This window comes from Homo sapiens, chromosome 8 (genome assembly GCF_000001405.40).
Source record: "Homo sapiens chromosome 8, GRCh38.p14 Primary Assembly".
Taxonomy (NCBI): domain Eukaryota; kingdom Metazoa; phylum Chordata; class Mammalia; order Primates; family Hominidae; genus Homo; species Homo sapiens.
In genome coordinates this window covers 54635927-54661728 of record NC_000008.11, presented here as the reverse complement: position 1 = coordinate 54661728, position 25802 = coordinate 54635927, and the positions used below count along the sequence as shown (strand labels likewise).

The window sequence follows — 25802 nt, the reverse complement described above, 5'->3', positions numbered from 1 at the left end:
GTACCAGAAGAAGAGAAAAAGATTCTAATTCAAGAATTCCGTGAATTCAAACACGGTTCTGCACTGCCCTCCCACACCAGCTCCATCCTCTGGATTTTCACATCAGTTGATATTCTTTCATATTCCATTCCCTCCTCAGCTCATGCAGAAGGTTTATAAGTAGGAACTATTGAGGGAAGTTTTATTTACTTTCTGGGATTGTAAACTTGACAATCCTTTTCTAAAGAATCTAAAGATTTCTTTTTTTTTTAATACAGGATCTGGTTCTGTCACTCAGGCTGGAATGCAGTGGAACAATCATGGCTCACTGCATCCTCAACCTCCCAGACTCAAGCGATCCTCCCTCCTCAGGCTCCTGACTAGCTGGGACTACAGGCATGTGCTACCATGCCCAGCTAATTTTCTCATATATATATATATATCTCATATATATATCATTTATATATCATATATATCATTTATATATATCATTTATATATCATTATGTATATATTATATATATCATTATGTATATATAATAATATAATTATATATTATAACATTATATTATATTACATATTCATAATATATAATTTTATATTTTTTAATAGAGATGGGGTTTTACCATGTTGCCCAGGCTGGTCTTGAACTCAAGAGATCCACCTGACTTAGCCTCCCAAAGTGCTGGGATTACAAGTGTAAACCACCACACTCAGGCTTCCTTATTATTTTTCTAACCAAAATTTCATTTTTCCTTTTTTAAAAACCAAATAACTATGCTAAAGTTGGAGAGAGAAAACAAGCGGAGGGGGATCAGAGTAACAGTGGTCTATCACCTTTGTGCTATTCTAATCAGAGGTATTCTTCTTTTATTTTCCATGTAAGAACTTAAAAGACAAATATATAATAAAAATGAACTGAAATTTTCTTAATTGACATATTTACCCAGGGTTCTACTGGGTAAACTGAAATACAAAATAGTTGTTTCATTAAAAAGTACCCATAGGGCATCAGCAAAATGCATTTGCCCACAGAGACACCATCATAACAACAATGCTTGGAACATTTGCCTTTGTGAGAACCCCAGAAACCACCTAAGAGGTTCCTGCACCCAGGCAAGCCCAAAGACAAAAAGAACCTCATCAAAGTCAGTAGGAAAATTCATGGCATTTTACATGCTGAAGCTCCCCCTCCTACCCCCAGCACATACAGCATGACCAAGTTGCATTTATACCTAGATATACAAGGATGGTTCCACATATGAAAATCAATCAATGTAACATGCCACATTAACAGAATGAAAGACAAAAAACAAAAAACTTCATCAATGCAGAAAAAGCATTCTTATAATCCAACATCCTTCCTTGATAAAAGCTCTCAACAAACTAGGAAAAGAAGGAAACTATCTCAACATAATAATGGCAATATATAAAAAGCTCACAGCTAACACAATACTTATTGATGAAAGAAAAAAACTTTTCCTCTAAGATCATGAAAAAGACAAGGATGCCCACTCTCATCATTTCTATTCAACATATGACTGAAAGTTCTAGGTATTGCAATTAAAACAAGAAAAACAAATAAAAGATAACCAACTTGGAAGAGAAGAAGCAAGATTATCGCTGTTTGCAGGTTATATATGTAGAAAACTCTAAAAGCCTCCACACAAAAAAAATTGTTAAAACAACAAAATCAACACTCAAAAAGCAGCTGCGTTACTATATACTAACAAAGAATAATACAAAAAGAAATTAAGAAAACAATTGCATTTACAATAGCACCAAAAACAATAAAATACTATACTTAATACTAAACCAAGGCAGCAAAAGATATGTACAGTGAAAACTACAAAACGTTGTTAAAATAAAGAAACAAATAAATGGAAAGACACCCCAAGTTTGTAGGTTAGAAGACTTAATATTGTTAAAATGTCTACCTTACCCAAAGCAATCTAAAGATTAAATGCAGTCCCTATCAAAATCTCAACAGCAATTTTTACAGAAATAGGAAAAAATCCAAAAATTCATGTAGATTGCCAAGAGATCCCTGAATAGTCAAAACAATCTTGAAATGATCAAAGTTATAAGCCTCACACTTCTTGATTTTAATACATATGACAAAGCAACAGTAATAAAGGCAGTGTGGTACTGGGATAAAGATAGACAGACTAATAGAATAGAATAGAGAACTCAGAAAAAAGCCCTCGATTATACAGTGAAATGATTTTGACAAGGGTGCCAAGACCACACAAGGAGGAAGACAGTCTCGTCGATAAATGGTGTTGACTAAACTGGATATCCACATGCAAAAAAATAAATAAATAAAGTTGAATCTTTATCTTACATCAATATAGATATTGACTAAAAATGTATTAAAGACCTAACCATAAAAATCTAAATACATAAAACTCCTAGATGAAATCTTAAGAGAAAACCTTCAGGATATCAAATTTGGCAGTTATTTCTTGAATATGACACCAAAATCACATGCAACAAAAACAAACATAAACAAATGGGGCTACATCAAACTTAAAAACTTCTGCACAGCAAAGGCAACAATCATTAGTGTAAACAAGCAACTTATGGAGTTGCAAAAAATATTTCCCAATCATATATCTGATGAGGCTAATATCCAGAAAAAATAAGGAACTCCTTCAACTAAACAATAACACATGAAAAAGAGACAATCCAATTTAAAAATAGGCAAAGAGCTTGAATAGACAATTCATCAAAGAATATATACAAATGGCCTACAAGCCTACAAAAATTCAACATCACTAATTATTACAGAAATGCAAATGAAAACCACAATGAAAAACTACCTCACACCCATTAGGATGGCCAGTATCAATAGAAAAAAAAAAAACAAGTGTTGGGGAGAATGCAGAGAAATTGGAACCCTTGTGGGATGTAAAATTGTCCAACTACTATGGAAAAAGGTAAGGAGGTTCCTCAAAAAATTTAAAATGGAATTACCATATAATTCAGCAACCCCATTTCTAGATACACACCCAAAAGAGTTCAAAGTAGAATCTCAAAGAGATATTTAAATTTGCACACCCATGGTCATTACAACATGATTCACAATAGGTAGAAGGTGGAAGCAAGCCTAATGTCCACTGTCAGATGAATGGATAAATAAATTGTGGTATATACATATGATAGAGTAATACGCAGTCTTTTTTTTTTTTTTTTTTTTTGAGACGGAGTCTCGCTCTGTCGCCCAGGCTGGAGTGCAGTGGCGGGATCTCGGCTCACTGCAAGCTCCGCCTCCCGGGTTCACGCCATTCTCCTGCCTCAGCCTCCCAAGTAGCTGGGACTACAGGCGCCCGCCACTACGCCCGGCTATTTTTTTGTATTTTTAGTAGAGACGGGGTTTCACCGTTTTAGCCGGGATGGTCTCGATCTCCTGACCTCGTGATCCGCCCGCCTCGGCCTCCCAAAGTGCTGGGATTACAGGCGTGAGCCACCGCGCCCGGCCTACGCAGTCTTAAAAAGAATAAAAATTCTGTTAACATGGTATACCATAGACATTACATTAGGTAAAATAAACCAGTCACAAAAGGACAAAAACTGTATGCTTACACTCATATGATGTATCTAAAGTAGTTAAAATCATAGAAACAGAAAGTAGAAATGTGGTTCCCAAGGGCTGAGAGAAGTGCAGCAGGATGGGGATTGGGGGGAATTAGTATTTAATGGATATAGAGTTTCAGCTTTGTAAGATGCAGAAGTTCTAAAGATCTGTTGCATAACAATGTGAATACACTTAACACAAGTGAACTGTACACTTAAAAATGTTTAAGGTAGTAAGGTTAATGTTTGTGTTAATTATCACAATTAAAAATAAAATTTGTTTAAAAGTAGCTCACACAGACTGTGAGCCCACTTTTGGTGTTTTGTTAGGAACCTTTATCCTTCGCAGGAAAATAATTCCATAATTACAACAAATTTTTTTTCACGTACACATGATGGTATACTGGTAAACTGGGCAAACACTTTTAGAGTTACTGTTGTCTTAAATGGTGAATAACTACCATTACTTTTTATAATCTTAAAGGAATAAAATATAGCAAAAAAGACATTAATCCAGCTTTCATTATTTGTACCACCTAGAACTTATGTGTCTACCTCTAGTGAAGAGTGTTAACTTATTCGTAATGATATCATTTCAGACACAGCATCAATCTTAGCTAGAATATTAGATAAAAATATGGCAAGGGTAAATCATCATTTGCTGTATCTACCACTGACCTAGATAACTAAAGGCTTATCAAATTTATAGATACATATGATAGGGTATGGTTAGAATACCAAGCCATGTCCTGAAACTGAAAAGAAAAATGTTTATTAATAAACCATAAGGGTCAAGCCCTACACAGAAGACAAGTAAAATCAGAACATATTTGTAGAGTGTGCCTTCTTTGAGCAGAACTTTAACAGTTAAAATGGAGGGAAGTAGCAGCAGAAAGTCACCTCTGCATTGTTACTAACAATGGGTAGGAATAGGGCACCTGGCGAACATCTTCTCAGGTGAAACGTGTGGGCTGATGAGGAAGAATAGTGATAACAATGCTTCTAAATGGTGAAAAAAATACTTATGAATGGTGAGAACAATGCTCCTGCTTCACTTTTCAGTAACTAGGGCTATTCATGTCTTTTCAAAAATATTTTAACTTCAGAAACTTAAGAAAAGTGATCACACCTTATTTAAAACCACAAAGGAATCATCAATCTGTGCAAATGTTTACCAGTCTATGTTCCCTCAAAAAACTACACAGGTTGGTATGGACCTAAGCCTAATGTCAGATAAGACTTAATATTACTCATTTATTTATTTATTCAGAAAATTAAAACATCACATTTTTAACAGAACATAGTCTGGATTGGAGAAAAATCCATTTTTTGCCAATTGTCTATTTAATAATCTCGTATGCCCTTATCCCGTTCTCCCCCAAGGCAGAGGCCAGCAGACCCAAGAGCAAATGGTTCTTATGGATAGTCACCCTGAATTCTTGTGCTGGGGAGCAGTGACTACCTAATCCTGAGTAGAACAAGAGCCTATTATCAGCCATAAATTTACACAAGGCTTGAACACATCTCTGCTTTCGGCCAGACATTTAGAAAGTCATTGAGCAGTTGTGTTTTATTTCCTAATCAAATAGATAAATTTTCAAAAATGAGGCAGAGCCCAGTGGGAAAAGTAGACACTGACTTGCATTTCTTAGCCCTGGAGGAACGTCATTTGACATTCAATTTTCTCATGACCGCCTAAGAATTAATTTCCTTGTTTTGATTAAGAAGCATTTCAGCCAACCTTCCTATAGGGCTGTTGACAAGAACATACTCCTGAATGCTGGCATGTGAAACAACTAAAAAGCATTTAGATGCAGCTGCCACATCAGAGAGGTAAGTGATAAGAAACTGGCAGTCCTTAATCATTCATTTACTCAACATGTGTTTATTGGTTCCCTGTCCTTCAGCATTTAGGCAAACAAGTTTTATCCATGCTACCTGGAGTTGAATCTTTCCTACCTGGAAGGACAGGTTGTCCTTTACTTAAAAGAGGAAATTCTCGACAGATTTCCCCATCCTCTTGATCTCGTGCCAACCATCGTTGAACAGGTACATAAAACTGTTTTCCAGAATTCATATTATGCAGCTGTATCTATAATAACAATAATATTACTTTTAAAAATGTAGGAATGCTTTATCAAAGTGTCAAATAAGTTTTTGTTCAAGACTGCCACTTAGCTCAGAGAATTATTTTTAATATGAGAAACTGTTGATAATTTGACAGTGCTAATTTCTTCTTTTACTGCCATCTCAGGTACAATGGCATTTCTTTCCTCTATCTAAAAATCTTCCTATTTCTATTTATTTATTTATTTATTTATTTGAGACAAAGTCTTGCTATGTTGCCCAGGCTGGTTGCCAACTCCTAGGCTGAAGTGATCCTCCCACCTCAGCCTCCTGAGTAGCTGGGACTACAGACACGTGCCACTGCACCCAGATAAATTTTCTATTTCTAGTGTTTCTATTTTGAAATGTTTATGTCAAACATGGCAATTTCTTCCCAAATCTTATGTCATTAATATTTTCCTGTTTAGAAAGAGATGTTTACATTTTTAGAAATATATTATTTCCCTGTTTCAACTTCTTAGAAATTAACTTTTGGTTTAAAGTGATTTTATAAATATTAGCATAAGGTCAGATTTCATACACTACAGATTCAAACTGATATGGTTCCCCCTTTGGATCCTTAGCAATGAACAAAACTCAAGCACTGATTATTTATACCTGATCCATTTATCCTGGAGTTAAACAAGAATGTTAATAATTTCTGGTAGGAACTGAAAAATATGAAAATCATCAAAAAGTAAAAATTATATTTTCTGATACTAAAGTCTAGCCTTTTCTGAATAGAGTACTATTATTCTTTTACAGTATCTCTTGGAGTTCCAGTAATTGATGTCACAAAATAGTGAATAAGCATGCCAGTGTGCAAGGGTAATGTAAGGATTGTTAGCCTACCTAAATATTCAAAATTACTTTAAAACTTCAGTATGTTTTCTGACGTTTAAGAATTCAGATGTGTTCTGTAATGGATTCAGATGTTTCATTTGTAGTATAATGAAATGTTTACAGAAAGATAACTTTTTCATTAAAATATTTTTAGAAATAAAGCTTCAGTGAGGTGTTATTTTAACTATTAAATTAATCTTACTCTTTTGAGAATGCCTTAAATCAGAGATTTTCAACTTCAATGATTTTAAAATCACCCTGTTAAAAAGGCAGATTTTCACCCAGGCACAGTGGCTCACACCTGTAATCCCAGCACTTTGTGGGCCCAAGGTGGGCAGACTGCTTGAGCCCAGGAGTTTGAGACCAACCAGGGCAACATGGCAAGACCCTGTCTCTACAAAAAATAAAAAATTAGCCAGGTGTGGTGGTGCATGCCTATAGTCCCAGCTACTTGGGAGGCTGAGGTGGGAGGATCGCTTGAGCCTGGGAAGTCAAGGCTGCAGTGAGCCATGATCGTGCTACTGGTCTCCAGCCTAGGCAATAGACAGAGACCCTGTCTCAAAAAGGAAAAAAAGTCAGATTTTCAGTACCTGATCCTACTAAGGTCTGTGAGACTCAGACAGGTTCAGGAATTCACATTTATAAATGCATGTTAAGTGTGATTCTGATACAATGTAATGTCACTTTTAGAAAGGCTTCCTGAGAACCCATGAGAAAAATTATTGTTTGCAAGGTTATTACTGCCAAGACTGTCTGATTTGATTATTTTAATTAAGGCCCAAAGCTGATCATTTGAGAAGCAGAAAATAACCTAACATTTTGAACTTTTTATTTTGTAATCTTCCCTAACTAAACTTGAAAAAAATCAAGATTAAGTTTCTAAAGCAATGTGGTTATTTTATGGAAATGTATTATTGTTGCTATCATGGAATCAGTGATTCTGTTCAAATCCCCATACAAGTTGATTAATTAAAATTTCAAATTTCAAACTTCTAAACTGTATTATAAGAATTGAACAGAAAATTTTCAAACCAATATCTAATTTGGCAAAATGGATAAACTGGATAAGGGCTTTTCTACATTCAGAAGGAAACTTTGGATCAAGAATGTGTTTCTTCTTCACAGGTACTCAACAAGAGCCAAAGTAAACCTTAGGCAAAGTTCCCTTGCAGTGAGAGAATACTTGCCATAGAGAGAAAGACAATAGAAATTTTCAGCCTGATTTTTATATCATTCCTCTATAATACAAAATTTTTTGTCTCAGCATCCCAAGTTCATAATGAATGTAATCTTGCTTATTGGCTATCAAATGAAATGGCAGGAGGATTAATGATAATTTTCATATGTTAGTTTACCTTACTGAGAGGGAAGAAAAAAAGATATTGTCATATATGATCATTTAAGAATCAATTTGAATATCATACTTCAAAAGCTCTATATAGCATAAAAGTATTTCACATAGAAGCCAGGTAGTAATTTTGAATTTTAAAATATAACCTCAACATTCTGTATTTTCATAAGGTAAGTTTTATTTTCTCATTCTGCTTTCAGAATCGTTTGTAACTTTAACATAAAGAAGATGGTATTAACAACTATATATTTCTGCTAATGGAATTTTTTAATGTTTTTAAGGAATTACTCATCATCTATGAAGTTTTCATTAATTCTTCCACATGTTAAAACTCAAGAAGAGTAAGTTTGCCGAAAATATCAGGAATATGACTAGATTTTCTGCACATTTTGAGAACTTGTTTAGTTAAAGAGCATTTATTTTGAAATGACAGAAGGTGTAAATACACCATATATAAAATTGGATGACAAGCTCTATGATTTCCAGTGTTGGAGGTCTGCATTTACTGACAATCATGCTAATAAGTAGGATGTTTCATGCTGAACAATGTAGAAAATTTAAGCCTTTTTTTAATCTTAAAAATACTCAAGGGGCATTTTCCTTCTTAGCATGAATAGACTAAATTTCAAAGCTGGCATTCAATTCTAGTAGACTATTATTTCATCAACACAGTGGTCTATCTTTACAACATTTCTGAAGCAAATAACATACAGCTAGTCATCTTTTTATCAGCAGTGCAACTATATCAAGAAGCTATATGAGTTTATCCAGAGTCCCAGGCGTTTTTTTCTTTGCAAAGAGGTGAAAGAATTGCTTGGTTAAGGTGCCTCCCTCAATCAATTAAGAATTAATTAATTATTAAGGGCATATGATACTTCTGCCTTGAAGAAAGCACTGGCTAAAAAGGTACAGGACTCTATCAACTCATTATAGGCATGATGAGTTGACTCCTGAGAGGAATATGCAGAGGATTTTGCAAAGAATGGGAAAGTGTTGATATATCCTTACCTCCTTGCAGTGCCAGGAAGGGGAGGATCCAGAGTTGGTATGACCAATACGAATCTTAAAGAGTGCTCCAATGTCTCCAACTGTTATCTATGAAGAGCCAAGGGAACAACTTTCAATGTAATTTCACAAAATTCACTTAAAAACAGCTCAGATTAGGACATGAAATGTTGATAAAGGGGTCAATTCATTAAGAAGACATAAGAATTATAAACATGTGCACACCTAACAAGAGAGTACTAAAATATAATAAGCAAAATTTAACAGAACTGAATAGAGAAACAGACACTCTATGATAATAGTTGGAGACTTCAATACCCAACTTTAATGATGGGTAGAACAAGTAGAGAAAAGAATAAGAAAATAGAGGCCTTGAACATTACACACCACCTAGACCTAACATCTATAGAACACTCCACCCAACAACAGAAAACAGTCTTTCCAAGTACACATGGAACGTTCTCCAGGATAGAACATATGTAATGCAACAAAACAAGGCTTGAAAATTTAAAAAGACAAATCATACAGAGTATCTTGTCGAAACACAATGGAATGAATCCAGAAATCAGTATTATAAGGCAAACTGAAAAGTTCAAAATATGTGTAAATTCCAAGGCAGGTGGATCATGAGGTCAGGAGTTCAAGACCAGCCTGGCCAACACAGTGAAACCCTGTCTCTACAAAAAATACAAAAATTAGCTGGGCGTGTTGGCAGGCGCCTGTAATCCCAGCTACTTGGGAAGCTAAGGCAGGAGAATTGCTTGAACTCGGGAGGCAGAGGTTGCAGTGAGCTGAGATCATGCCACTGCACTCCAGCCTGTGCGAGAGAGATAGACTCCATCTCAGAAAAAAAAAAAAGTGTAAATTAAAGAACATACTCGTAAGCAACAAATAGGTCAAAGAACAAACTGCAGGAAAATTAAAAAATACTTTGAGACAAGTGAAAACAAAAATATAACACAAAAATATGGAAAAAGCAGAGCTCTGAGGGAAATTTATAGCTATATACACCTACATTTAAAAAGAAGAGAAATCTCAAATAAATAACCTAACTTTACATCTTAAGGAACTAGAAAAAGAAAGGCAAACTAAATCCTAAGCTAGTAGAAGAAAGAGATAGACTGATAAACAAAAGGGAGAATATAAAAACAACAAAATAAATTAATGTTTGGTTATTAAAAACATCAATAAAACTGATAGACTTTAGCCTATCTAGATGTTAGCAAAGAGAATTGCTAAAATCAAAAATAAAAGTAGAGACATTGCTATTGACTTTACAGAAATAAAAAGGATTATAAAAGAATGCTATGAGCAATAGTATGCCAACAAATTAGATAACCTACATGAAATGGACAAATCTATAGAAACACACAGACCACCAAAAGTGACTCGAAGAAATAAAAAATATGAATAGACCTATAAAGGGTAAAGAGATTGAATCAGTAATCAAAAACCTCCCAAGAAAAAAAAACCTAGGACAGAAGGCTTCATTGGTGAATTCTATCAAATATTTAAAGAAGAATTAATTCCAAACACTTCCAAAAAAGAGGTGGAAATACTTTTTAACTCATTCTGCAAGGTCAGCATTATGCTGATAACAAACCCAAAGACATAACAAGGAAACTATAAACCACTGTGCCTTATAAAGATGCAAACATCTTCAACAAAACTAGCTAATGAATCCAGAGGCATATTAAAAAGATTATACGTTATAATAAACTAGGATTTATCCCAGGAATGGAAATTGGTTCTACATACAAATATCAATCTAATATACCACGTAAATAAAATAGAGGGAAAAAACACAATCATCTCAATTGATGCCAAACTGCCCCCCTGACACACACACACACATGCACATTTGACAAAATCAAATGCCCTTTCATGATTAAAAAAAAAATTCAACAAACTAGAAATTGAAAAGAACTTCCTGAACATGATAAAGGGCACTTATCGTGAGAAAAACCCACAGATAACGTCCTACTCAATGGCAAAAGATGAAGAGCTTTTCCCCCAAATCAGGAACAAGACAAGGATAATAATTTTTGCTACTTCTATTCAACACTGTACTGAAAGTTCTAGCTACAGCAATTCAGCAATAAGAAAAAATTTAAAACATCCAAATAGGAAAGGAAAGGGAAGGGGAGGGAAGGGAAAGGAAGAGGAGGGGAGGGGAGGGGAGGAGGGAGGAGGGAGGTAGACGGGGGAGGGGAAGGGAAAGGGAAGAGAAAGGGAAAGGAAGGGAAGACAAGACAGAGGTTGCTAGGGGTTGGTAGAAAGGCAACAGGGAGTGACTGCATAACAAAGTTTTCTTTTGGAGTGAATAAAATGTTATGAAAGTAGATAGTGATTGTTGAATAACACTGTGAATGTACTATATGCCACTAAATTGTACAATTTAAAAATTTTTTAATGGTAACTTTTGTGTATTTTACCATAATAAAAAAGAAAAGAAAAGGTCTATACAAAGAAAGTACAGGGAAAAAGGAAAGGAAGATGTAAAACAGTCTGCCTAAGAACCCTTACAAGAAAACAATTCATTAGAACAAACGAAACTGTGATCAAAATTGGCATGAAATTACTGCATTTAATAAAGCCATCACCTCTACAACAAGAGATTAATGTAGCCATCCCAGAACTCAGGCAAGAGTGACAACAGAAAGAGCTGAAATTTAGTAGCAGCATTCAGAAAAAAGAAGCATCAAACTATAAAAATGAGGGGTTAAGGGTGTTCCTTTCTTATTACAGAATTGAAAATTATTTAGCCCTATAAACTATGTGAATATATAATTCAATTTAAAAGAAAACATGAAACACTAAAATAGTAAAACAACAACAGCTCAGACTATTTTTATTTCTTACTCACAGAAAATAATGACAAAATCTTTTCCTTTTAGTGACTATAAACACAAGAGTGTCTTTAAATATTGACTCATATAGGATGGAAAAGTTAGATCAAACTAATCTAATGGGAACAATGTTTCCAAATGGTTCAGCCTCTCCTGTGGTTGTAGTAAACCAAACACCCAGGATCACATGGAGATGGCTGTCCTGTGAAGACTTGCAATACTTAAGGAGACTCTTTTTTCATGGTGATTTTACTCTGTCTCCACCTGGTTCAAACCAATCCTTCTGTGCATCCATTAATTTATTCAACAGACATTACTAAGCATCTGTAAGTGCCAGGTGCTTGACCCACTTCAAGTCTTGCCTTTGTTTGCTAATGTATCTGACTTCAGTTTAACAACATGGCACTGGTCTCCCTGCTTCATCTTTGTTACCTCTGTTTCCCTCTAGACCCTGATCTCCATGTGTCTAGCCATGGTCTAATAACTTGATAACTAATACCTAATAAAAACCAGTAATTAACAACTTGATGACAACTTTTTTGCCTTCCTTGTTTGACAATTTTATTTTTCCCTTTTTGAGCTTGACTTTGAGCCTTATCTGGAGAGCCAGAAAGGCATAAGCCCTTGCTCCTGATGTCTGTCCACATAAAAATAAGTGTTTACCATCTAGTATTTCTCTCTAGCTACTGTCTCTTCCCATATTGCAGATTTACTTGTGTTAAATCTGCTTGAGCAAAAACTTCCATAAATTATTTTTGAATGATCTTCTACAGGGCACATGGTGTTACTAAAGGGATAGACTATGTTCATTCCAAAGTACCTACTAGGTGTATCACTTATATTAACAGTTTATACTCAGTTTTATTACTTACAGTAAATATGTCTTCATGGCCAACCTGAAATCGAGCCCCATCTGTTCCATAAAGATATATGGGGGCTGAACTTCTATGTTGTCCATACAGAATAATATAAATCTGTGAGCTGGTCCCTGCATCTGGCAAGTCACTGGTGATTATAAAAACTTTCCAGTTACTACCTATAAAAGAAAAAATAACATACAGCATTATGGCAACTGATAGAAATGGAAGACTCAGAACAGCAGGTCATCATAAAACTAGGAGAGTTCAGGATAGACAAAACTTATTCTTCATCTCCTCTGAAAAAGTGCCATAACAGAAGATTTATATTTGGAATTTAAAATACTCAATAAAATTACTATTTTCTACAATGTGACAGTGAGAATATTTCCAAAAAGATCTTTAGTGAGGTGGCTAGAGTGGTATCATTACTATATTATTGTTGGTCATACCTGGACTCCAAAAGAGCCACTAAACAACTTTTTTGAAGCTCCCAGTATTTTGACAAAAAATCTCCAATATTCTCAGCTCTGGCATGTAACATGTGCATTGAGAATTAATGCCTTTTAGGATATTTTTTGAGTTTAGATGTCTTTTTTCCAAAATAAAAATTTATATAATAATTAAGAATTTAAACTGGAATTGGGTGAGTAGAATTTGAGAAGTTATCTGCTATAATTTATTCATTTATTATTTTAAGTATCCCCAATTAATAAAGTAACTAAATCCTACAAACAGAAGTATATTTTGTATCACCTAGAAACAAATGAAAACAATGCTAGAAAACATATGGCTCACTGTGAACATAACTGAGACTGACTAAACATTATAGTACATTAATAGTGGTATGATATAATGTCCTAGGATTTCGATTTAATTTTGTCAGGTTTCTTTGGGGTAAACATCAGTGTATTATTGCATTTTCACATTGCTATAAAGCTACTACCTGCGACTAGGTAATTCATAAATAAAAGAGGTTTAATTGACTCACAGTTCCACATGGCTGAGAAGGCCTCAGGAAACTTAACAATCATGGCAGAAGGCAAAGGAGAAGCAAGTACCTTCTTCACAAGGCAGGAGAGAGAGAGAGCACACGCGAAGGGGGAACTGCCAAACACTTTTGAAACCATCAGCTCTCATGAGAACTCACTATCATGAGAATAGCATGGGGGAAACCATCCCCATGATCCAACCACCTCCCACCTGATCCTCCCTCAACACCTGGGAATTGCAATTCAAGATGAGATTTGGGTAAGGACACAGAGCCAAACCATGTCAATCAGAAAGCTGATCTATAAGAAAAATGAAAGCCAGATGTGGTGGCGCATGCCTGTAGTCCTACCTACTTGGAAGGCTGAGGTGGAAGAATAGCTTGAGCCCAAGAATTTGAGGTCACAGCAAGCTGTGATCTTGCCACAGTACACTCTAGCCTGGGCAATAGAGCAAGAACCTATCTCAAAATAAAAAAAAAAGGAATAAAACAAAAGTGAAGTAATGAGAAATTAGGGAACACACTCAAGATTACATAAAATAAGTAAGAATATAAGGTAATAAAATTAAGAACTACTGACTTAAATGGCATTCTACTCATTAGACTGTTTTCCTCTCTTCCAACTTTGAACTAAAATGTATTTGCCATTTTTATCATTAAAATAAATAACCAAAGGCTAGATTTAAATTTATATGGTACAATAAATACACATTAAATTAATGTATGTTTGTATTTGTATTTTTTATTTTTATTTTTTTGAGAGGGAGTCTCGCTGGTGTCACCCAAGCTGGAGTGCAGTGGTATGACCTTGGCTCATGGCAACCTCTGTATCCTGGGTTCAAGTGATTCTCCTGCCTCAGCCTCTCAATAGCTGAGATTACAGGTGCCCGCCACCACACCCAGGTAATTTTTGTATTTTCGTAGAGATGAGGTTTCACCATGTTGGTCAGGCTGGTCTCAAACTCCTGACTTCAAATGATCCACCCACCTTGGCCCCTCAAAGTGCTACGCTACGATTACAGGCATGAGCCACTGCACCTGGCCTGTTTGTAAAAAATCTACTTAAAAATATAAAACTATATTTTGTTTGCCCTACACATAGTGGAAAGCCATGTTAGGCTACCAAATCATCTTGGTAGACAATCAGTAAATAAAAACATAATTTTAAAAAAACTAGTCAAGGATGGTCTGTCTTTAACAGTGACAGAAAATGTTAAATTGCAATTACAAACTACAGAGCTAGAAAAATTCTAGCTATGCTCTGTAGGATGACTGGTATGTTAGTTCTTGTTTGAATAAATTGAAATACCATACTTCTGTCTTAGAAATGCAGCAAAAGAGTTCAGGGGAGAATCAATACTTGCTAAAAATGCACGGAACAAATCAATCAAGAAAGAAATTGCATTTTCCAACAACTAGGATGGAAAGGCTGAAAAGTGAAAGAATGGAAATAAAAATGAAAATAATGAAATATGATGTCCGTTTACTATAGGTTTTTGCACCTCCCTAAATCATTAAATGATTCAAACCTTAACCCTGCAACAGAGTACCATAAAAACTGGAGTAGAATCTAAAGATCATGAACGAAGATTCATCTTTCAGTTTATAACTTACATTTCAATCGACAGAAAGCCAACAAGTCATTGGGTCATTACTAGTTGACCACTGTCTAGGGAGGAGTAGATGAAAAACATAAGATGATGTCATTGTCTTCCATTAGCTTGTAATCTATATGAGGTAATAGGCCAACACACCAAAAGAGAAAAACATCAGAATATTCTTAATGTAATATTTTAGTGAGGCGAGGTCAGATCACAGAAAAACTAACATAATGAATAAGAAAAATTAGAAGGAGACAGAAAAGAGGGGGAGGGGGAGGAGAAGGAGAGAGTAGGGAGGAGGAAGAGAACAATAAGAAGCCAAAAAAAAGAAAAAGAAACATCAGCAGAAAGAAAGTACAAAACTTTATGCCATAATCTTTTAAAGTAGAAGTCAAAAAGCAAGTAAGACAGAAGATTTCAGGAGTTTGTCCAGCATCTAACCCAGTTTTCTCAGAAATGCTATGGGAGAAAAAATGTGAATAGACAAAATTCTAAGTCTTTGTAATATACATATACCACTAGGCCTCGATTTGAAAAAGAGTGAGTTGAAGGGGTGAGTAGATGAACTGGAGAAAAAAAGAATGCGGGTGGTGGACAAACAGCTCCTTTTTTCTTTATATAAACAATTTAGTCATTTAATGAGCAAACAGATTGGGGAAAGACTCAATTTACCAGAGCAGACACAAAACAAATAGAAAATTTGAATAATCCTATATCCTCTAAAAAAAACAATAAATTTATACTGTAAATATTTTTCACAAAGAACTTCAGGCCCAGATGGCTTCAGTGGTGAATTTTGTATCAAACTATTCTAAAAAATGGTATCAATCCTATATAAACCATTTGGAATAGTTCCCAACTCATTGTATGAGAAGCATATTACTCTGGTACCCAAATCAGAAAACACATTATAAGAAAACTGCAGAGCAATAACCCCCAAAAACATCAATGAAAATATTCTCAACAAAATATTAGAAAACCACATCAACTATAATCTTCAAGTTTATTCCAGAAATGCAAGTTTTTTAACATTAAGCAGCCAATCAATGTAATTCACCATATTAACAGAACACAGGAGAAAATGAAATGATACTCAGGATCATTCCTCATTAGAGAAATGTAAATAAGCTAAAACCACAATGAGATAGAGCACTACATATAATAACTAAAATTAAAAACAGTGAAAATACCAAGGTAAGGACATAGAACAACTAGAACTCTCATGCATAACCAGAGGAAATGTGAAATGGCATAATACTTTGGAAACAGTTTGGCAGTTTCTTGTAAAGTTCAACAAACTTACCATATATCCCCGAAATTCCATTGTAGTAAACTACCCAAAGAAATAAAAACATACAAAAACTTGTACATGAATTTTCATTGTAGTTTTACTCACAATAGCCAGAAACTGGAGTAACCCAAATGTCCATCAACAGGTTCGTCATGGGTTAAATTCTGTCTTCAAAAAAGATATGTTGAAATCCTAACCTCTGGTACCTATAAATGTGACCCTAATTAAACATAGGGTCATTGCAGATGTAATTATGATATAAATTAATATTAAGTCATGCTGGAATAGTGTAGGCTCTTAACCCAATACAACTTAGAAAAGAGACACCCAGGGAAAATGTCATGTGAAGATGGAGGCAGAGATTAGCATGATACATCTACAAATCATGGAACACCAAGGACTGCTGGAAATCACCAGAAGCTAGGAGGGACACACAGAACAGGATGTCCCTCAGAGCACTCAAAGGAACCAATTCTGCTGACTCTGATTTCAGATTTCTAGCCAACAGAACTATGAATGAATAAATTCTGTTGTTTGAAGGCACCAATTTATGGTACTTTTCTTATAGCAGTCCCAGGAAACTGAAAAAGATTTGGTAATAAGAAGTGGGGTGCTGCTGTAACAAATACCTAAAGCTTTCTAGATAGGCTCTGGAAATAGGCCAGGGGTGTGCCTGAACAACCTCTTGCTAACAGCATTAAACATATGATTCACTGATCCAATCAGCCATCTCAGCAGAAGCCATAAATAGAGACGGAGTTACCAAGGAAAGATCTGTGGAGAAGAACCCTTGTGTCCTTGTGTCTAATGGTATGGACCCCTTTGGCATCCACAGAAGACCAACAAGGTTTTTGGAGAATATTATTTCATCAGATGAAAGAAACAGAGATGGGACAAATGACTCTGAGGGCCAGAGAGGGTAAAGCCACTGCCCTTGGGGGCTGAGTGGGTAGGCTACCACCCAAGTAGGGCCCAGAGAACAAAGCAGTAAGCCACTGAGGATTACTCTCAGGCCTTGAAATCTAATGAAATTTGCTAGGTTTCTAACTTGCTTGGAACACATGACCCCTTTTTTCCTTTCAGTTTCTTCCTTTTGGAATGGGAATACTTATCCTATGCCTGTCCCATCATTGCATTTTAGAAACAAATAATTTGTTTTCTAGTTTCACACATCTGTGAATGGAGAGGAATTTTGGTCCGAGATGCATTATACCCAGAGTCTCACCCAAATTTTATTTTGATAATATATAAAATGAGATTTGGGACTTTGTGAAATTATAATATTTAGATGAGATTTTGAATTTGAAGTTGATGGTGGAATGGTTAAAACTTTTGGGAATATTGGGATGCGGTAAATGCATTTTGCACTTAAGGATGTGAATTATTGGGGGCTAGAAAGCAAACTGTTATGGGTGACTAGTGTCCTTATAGGAAGAGAAGAGATACAGAGACAGAGGAAGAGTGCTACACAAAGATGGAGTCAGGCATTCCAGCTACCCTGCTGCAAGCCAAAGAATGCCAAGGACTTCAGGCAACCACCAAAAGCCAGAGAAGAGGTGAGGGAGGATCTTCCCCTAGAGTCTTTAGAGACAGCATTCAGACTTCTAGCCTTCAGAACTGTGAGAATAAATCTGTTCTTTTAAGTTACTCAGTTTGTGGTAATCTGTTACAGAAGCCCCAGCAAACAAGAGGTGACTCTACAGGTAAAATGTGTTACATAATGAATACAACTCAGCAATTAAAAGGCACAAGCTACTAATAGATGTAACAGCTTGGATGAATCTTAAGCTTCATGATGATCAAAACCCTAGTCAGAGGAGTATATACTTTATGATTCCACAGAAGAACTGCTAGAAAAAGGCAAGCTTATTTGTATAACTAAAAGCAAATGAGTTCTTTCCTAGGGCCAGGAATGGTGGAATTATCTTCAGAGAACATGAAGAAACTATTTGGGATAGAATTGTTCTGTATCTTGATTGAGATGGTAATTATACAGGTGAACACAACTGTTAAAACTCATCACATTGTACATTTAAAATGCATACATCTCTTTATGTAAATTATACCTCAATAAGTTGATTTTTTTCAACATTAATAAACAAAACTTGTAAAAGTTATAACCCAAATGGTAAAATTGTTTTAAACTGCCACACAAATGAAAAAGGACAAATTTCCTTTATTTGCAAATAATTCATACAATCAATAAAACAAAACTAAACAAAACATCGATATCACAATGGAAAAATGGACAGGAATATGAATAGGCAATTTATTAAAAAAAAAGAGAACACAAGTGATCAAGAAATAGAAAATATGCTCAACCTCCCTTATAACTGAAGAAAGGCAAATCAAAACATTGTTTTTCATCTATCAGAGTGACAAAAATCTTTAGTTTTAAAACACCTAGTGTTATAACAGTCCGAAGAAATGGGCTTTCTCAAACACAGTTTGACATCAGTGAAGTTTCACATACCTTTATTGAATGGCAGCTTGAGAATATCTATGAAATTTTACAATGCACATATTCTTTAATGTAACTATTTTACTCCTGTAATTTACTATACAAATATACTCAGAACGACGCCAAACTATGTGTACTAAGAACATTCTTCAAAAGTCTCCTTATCTAAGTAGCAAATATTTAGATACAATCATGTATCTTTAAATACAGAATGAGTTAAATTTTGACTCAGTGCAACACACAACTATTTTAAAAGAATAAAGCAAAATGTGGTAAAATTTGGATACTATTATCTCAGTTTTACAAATAAAAAAGATATCCCCAAATATATGTACACATGCTGCTATGCACATTTAAAGTTTAGAAAAAACGCCTTAAGATACCTTTATAAATAAAGTTTAGAAGTTGGAGATGGGAGAAGGAAGACATTGTTTATTTAATACCTGCCTACACTATCTAATTTTTTTACTACATGCTATATAACTTTTACCTTTTTTAAATTGGTTAAGTATGTAAAGAGAAAAATATATATAGTTAACCAATGCAAAGTTCTTTAGGAGTATCAGCATATAGGAACTTTGTGCCTAAATTCTTTCAAAACAAAAAAAAATGTTTTCACCTTGTGATTATAAAAGTCCTCTTTAGAATTATCATTTTATATTTAGAGTTCCTAATAATCATATGTAAACTGTTCTTCCCAGTAGAGTATTCACAGGCTAGAAAAATCTTTAATGATCTATAAGTGATGCCAAACAGAAAAGACTGAACCATTTCTGCAAATCAGTACACTAAATTTAGTACCACAACTAATTGTGCATCTCTAGTCAGAAATGGCTTGACTTTTCTATGAATGTGAATAGTATCTTTGTGAGGAGAGGAGGGTAGTAGATCTTCAGCGTCACACATAATCATTTTGAGATCTAGTCTGAAACTTGATTTTAGATAAGTTAAACTTTCTCAGCGTCTTCACTCAGAAAACAGAAATAATACATTCCTCACATGGCCTTTAGGAGAGCTAAATCAGACAACATGTGTTAAGCACATAGTACGGTGCCTATTACATAACAGCTACCCAAGAAAGGAAAGTTATTTTCATTATAATTGTTACAAAATTACCTCTTTTGCATCAATTAGACCACGCATTCTCATGAGAGCAATATTAATCCCAAAGGACAAAAACTGGTTTTTGGAGGGCAAAAAAGCTTAAATATACAATGGTTTGGGGCCCTCTAAACTCAGTGCTATCTGGCAAAACATTATTCCTTAGTATTTAATTTCTCTCATTAGCAGGAGGCAATAACAGAAAAAAAAGTTGAGAAGCTAATTAATTAAGCTACTTAAGAATTACATGTAAAAACTGTTATCAACCTTGGAAATTTCAGAGGACAAATTTATTATATAAATGGAAATTAATCTCCTAATATACAAAATTAGAGAAATAGTGCCTGTGTCTGTCTACATGCCTGAGTGATTGCAATTCATATACATAACAATAAAAAGAAACAGAAAAGGATCAGCCTTCATGATATAGGTATGTAGCCACTGGATTACAATGGTGTCTATAAGGAGAATTATGGCCGGACGCAGTGGCTCACGCCTGTAATCCCAGCACTTCAGGAGGCTGAGGAGGGCAGATCACAAGGTCAGGAGATCGAGACCATCCTGACTAACACAGTGAAACCCCGTCTCTACTAAAAAGTACAAAAAATTAGCCAGGCGTGGTGGCGGGTGCCTGTAGTCCCAGCTACTCAGGAGGCTGAGGAAGGAGAATGGTGTGAACCCGGGAGGAGGAGCTAGCAGTGACTACACTCCAGCCTGGGCAACACGGCAAGACTCTGTCTCAAAAAAAAAAAAAAAAAAGGAGATTTATATTGGTGGGCAAATATAAATCACAAATACTTGGGATTAAACCATGGAAATCAAACTCCAAGCAAGGCAATAAGAGTGTTCAATCTTAGCCACCGTTGTTTGAAAAAGATTGTGTGAAATCAGAAGTAGCCATAAAATAAGTAACTTCTAAGTAGTATAAGATACAGAACTAATGGAAGGTAACTGTTTCTCTTTTCAGGCCAGAAAAACCTAAAGTAGCAAAATACCAATTTGAGTGTCCAAGGTAATGATGGACTGCTTTACAGATGGGCAGGGTCATTGTGTGTAGTTCTCTCTAGGACTCTTCTGCATGTTGAATCTAAGCACCAGCCGACTTGACTCCATCTTCTATGGTCTCTCTTTTCACCCAGGAATATAAGGCCCAAGGCTACTTTTCTGGCATAGATAAAAATTTACACAGCAGGGGGAAGTTCCAAGCTAGGCATTCAAAGCTTTACTCTCCAGCTGCTGGTTTAGCAGTTTAAAAAGGAAAAATGAAAGAACCTAGATTGGTCAAAGCAATTTTGAAAGAGAACAAAGTTGGAAAAATTTACACTATCTGGTTTCAAGGCTTACTATAAAGCTACAGTAATCAAGATGGTATATTTTGGCATACAAATATATGCACAAATCAATGAAATAGAATAGAGAATGCAGAAATGCACCCCTACACATGTGGTTAATTAACTTTTGACAAAAGACTATCCTTTCTAAATCAAAGTATTCAATGAAGAAAGGATAGTCTTTGGAACAAAGAGTGCTGGAATAATTGGATGTCCATTTAAAATAAAATGAACCTCAACTCTTACCTCCCACAGTATATTTAAAAAAAAAAAAAGCTCAAAATGGGACAAATAGACCCAAAGTAAGAATTAAAATGATGAAACTCCTAAAAGAAAACACAGGAGAAAATCTTGTCATTGAGATAGGCAGGCAGAGATTTCTTAGATAAGACTTGAAAAGCATGAGCCATACAAAGGAAATTAACAAACTGGGCTTACCAAAATTTAAAACTTGTTCATTCAAAATCCCACCACTAAGAAAGTGAAAAGTCAAGCTATTACACTAGGAGAAAATGCGTGCAAGACATACATCTGAATATATTGTATATTGTATTATATATATAATTGCTTCTCAGCCTTTTGGCTAAGATCAAGTGAATATATTGTACCCAGAATATGTAAAGAACTCTTGCAGCTCTAGATTTCAAATGCCCAACAGAAAATAAATTTGAAAACACACTATACCACAAAAGATATATGAACAGCAAATCAGTACATGTAAAGATGTCCAACATCAATAGTCATTAGAAAAATGCAAATTAAATGCAGAAAGTAAACACACTGGTATAGCTAAAATTTAAGTCTAATAATAGCAAGTGCAAACCAGAATACAGAACAACTAGAATCCTCATATATTGTTGGTAGGGATACAAAATGATACAACTACTTTTGAAAGGAGTTGGCAATTTCTCATTAACATACAATTACCATAAAAGCTAGCAATCTCACTCCTAGATATTTACCTAGGAAAGATAAAAAAGTATGTCCTGCAAGAAGACTGGACATGAATGTTTATATAACTTATATCCATAATAACCAAAAGCCAGAAATAAATGTCTATTAGCTGGTAAATGTATAAACAAAGTGTGGTATGTACATACAATGAAATACCACTCAGCAATGAAAAACAACTACTGATTCAGGCAACAATAATGAATCTCAAAATCATTTTGCTAAGTAAAAGAAGCAGATATCAAAGATGCCAGACCATAAGATTCCATTTGCATAAAATTCTAGAGAAAACACTACAGCCACAGAAAGTGAATCCATGGTTTCCAAGGGTTGGGCAAAGGGGAGAAGGGACTGGCTATAAAGGGAAATAAAAAGTCCTTTTTTGAGTGATGGAAATGTTCCATTATCTTACTATAGTGGTGATTATGTGAATACATATATTTGTCAAAACCCATCAAATCATAACACTTAAAATTGGGGAGATTTTATCAAATGTAAATTATACCCAAATAAAGGGTGAGAGAGACCGAGAGAGAGAGAGAGAGAGAGAGAGAGAAGAAAATTAAAAATTAAGGAATTATTCCAGAGGTTCATCAAGCTCAGGTAATATTCATAATAGAAATTTTAAAATGAAAGAACAAAAAACGGAGGGGAAAGATCAGAGAAATAATATAAAACAAATTCCCAGAACTAAAGGATACGGGTACTGAATGCCTAGTGTAGCAAAAACAAACAAACCAACCCTATACAAGTGTGTATTATTGTGAAATTTCAGAATACCAGAATAAACAGATGGTCCTAAAAGCTTTTGGGAAGGGGAGAGGGGTCACATGTATGGGAGCAGAAATGAGAATGGCTTAGTACTTTTCATGTTGGGATTAGAAAATAAAAGACAAATTTTTAAAGCTTTTAAAATGTTTGAGTTACTTCTAATGTATAAGGCCATATAATTTTTATCCATTAAACATGAGAATAACGGTATGTTTTTTTTTTTTTTTTGAGATGGAGTCTCACTCTGTCGCCCAGGCTGGAGTGCAGTGGCGCGATCTCGGCTCACTGCAACCTCCACCTCCTGGGTTCAAGTGATTCTCCTGTCTCAGCCTCCCAAGTAGCTGAGATTACAGGTGCACAACACCATGCCTGGCTAATCTTTTGTATTTTAGTAGAGACAGGGTTTCACTGTGTTGCCGAGGCTCGTCTCGAACTCACAAGCTCAGGCAATCCACCTGCCAAAAGATATTTTCATACATTCAAGAATCAAAAAAGAACTCCCATGCACCCCTTATTATAAACTATAAGAGAATTTTCTCCACCTAAACTGAGGCCTAAACTAAGATTTCAATAAACAAGACATTCAATATAGAGAGGAAAAGGAGATTCCCAGGATGTTGCTGAGGGATAGCTCAGGATGACAACTGCACAGCTGACCTGGATTGAAGCAGTTCACGTCGGATGAGGAGGGAGCTGGGTAGAGGAGTTGGGAAGGGACTTCCCCAAGGAATGCCTTCAAGAAAAATAATGTCCCCAAGGGAAAAAAATAGAATAGATGTGCACTTTTATGCTGACAGAGTCAGCCCTGGGGAAGAGTTCAGTAATAAATGGTAGTCCATTTTTAATCCAAGGAAAACAAAAAATAGTTCAAAAAAGAAAATGTAGTCAGGATACACTAAAAGGCTCAGCTGAGGAAAATATTTACATATTTACATGGTTATTAATGAAAGCCCTGTAATTTAATAAAAAAAATTATATTGGCAGAGATATGAAGTGGGAGGCTGAAGGTGAAATGTCAATACACAAAATCTAAAATTGAAAAAAAAAGCAGTATGTCTCTAAATACAGAAATAAACAGCAGAAAAACAGCTAAATATTTTCAAGAAAGATGCCTCTGGAGTGGGAATTAGGCATGTACAGGGTCAGAAAGTGGTCTATTTTTTATTTTGAGCTATGCACTTCTGATTAAAACTAGTTATAAATGTATAACTTTGATAAGAAATAAAAATGCAAATGGAAGAGTTCACCATTGAAAAAGTAAAACTTCTATGCTGGATAGCCTGCCAGTGCAGGTCTACTGTGTGGTTCTGGCTCTTAATGCCTAGGTGGTCAGCTGTATGCAGAGACTTGTCCAGCTAGGCACTCACTGTGGACCCCTTTCCTAACCCACTCAGGACCACCCAGGAGTTCAATCAGTCCTATCGAGCTATTACATAGCACTCTACATACTTTGACATTTCATGACAACCAGATATTTCATGAGACTCTATCTGTTGATCCAGATGAGGTCCACAAGTTCCTAGCAGGATACCGAACAGGGCATACAAGGCTAACCTCAACATCAACCTGCTGAAGGAAGAGCACCAGACAATCTCCATAATGCTATGCTACACCATGCCTCCTGGAAGGGTGACAGGACAGAGCCCATTGTGCAGACTGGTGCAAACTAATAGGTGAACAGGGAGAAAGTAAGCAAAGGCATAAAATAACAAATCTAGAGAACTTTCTCTTGGTCCTAGTTATTCTTCATATAATGTCTTTTTGACTGAGAATTTCCACTAACAGACCTATATTGAAATATATGTCTAAAACAAACTCCAATGTCATTTAAATGACATGAAATTATTCTTTTGGATTCTCTATACCACATCCATGAGAATAAATGGGATACATATGTATGCAAGTGTGTTTTTTGTTTTTGTTTTTTGAGAGGGAGTTTTGCTCTTGCCGCCCAGGCTGGGGTACAGTGGCGTAATCTCAGCTCACTGCTACCTCCACCTACCGGGTTCAAGAGACTCTCCTGCCTCAGCCTCCCGAGTAGCTAGGATTACAGGCGCCCACGACCAGGCCCAGCTAATTTTTATATTTTTAGTAAAGAACGGGTTTCACCATGTTGGCCAGGCTGGTCTTGAACTCCTGACCTCAGGTGATCCACCTGCCTTGGCCTCCCAAAGTGCTGGGATTACAGGCGTGAGCCACCATGCACAGCCAACTGTTGTGATTTTTATGATGGTTTCTTTCTAATTTGGTCTTGAGGTTTTTCTTGAGAGTGGCCATAAGCTCCAGCCTTGCCCTTGCCAGAAATTCAAAGGATTTTGTTGTGGATGTTGACAGTGCGCCTTCCATGGGATGCCTCTTTATCCTGAAGGATGCCTATTGCCTAAGTGTCTGACCCATGACTAGGTGTCCCTCTCACAACAAACTGTTTTTTCAGGCAGACACCCTTGTGGGTCTTGCCTGACCTGTATCCAGATTATTCCTGTCAAGACAGCCACTCTCTAAGATAGCTCTGACCAAAAAGAAGGCTACGTTAAGAGCATCTATGCCAAATGAGACACAATGAAGTGAAATGGAAATGCGCAAAACATAAGTGTTTATTATTCACAGTTCCCAGAAAGGTTAGGGGTGCCAACAGAAAGAGGCAGCAGGGAGCTCAATCAGCAAGGGGTCAGTGGGGAGGAGAGGAAGAGGGAGAAAGGGAAGGAGGGAGGTTGTGAGACAGAACTTTTGGGAGAGAGG

General features: G+C 35.7%; 1 protein-coding gene across 7 annotated transcripts in view; it reads right to left on the bottom strand.

The window, feature by feature from the left end:
- The window catches only part of RP1 (RP1 axonemal microtubule associated), a 312050-nt gene that overhangs the window by 209506 nt on the left and 76742 nt on the right, over positions 1 to 25802 (bottom strand). For all 7 annotated transcript variants that reach the window (XM_047422069.1, XM_047422070.1, XM_047422071.1 and 4 more), the window contains 3 exons: positions 12581 to 12744; positions 8863 to 8949; positions 5514 to 5646 (listed from right to left, as the gene is read on the bottom strand). In XM_047422069.1, coding sequence (XP_047278025.1) covers positions 5514 to 5646; positions 8863 to 8949; positions 12581 to 12744 — 384 coding nt within the window. The remainder of the gene's footprint in view (positions 1 to 5513; positions 5647 to 8862; positions 8950 to 12580; positions 12745 to 25802) is intronic.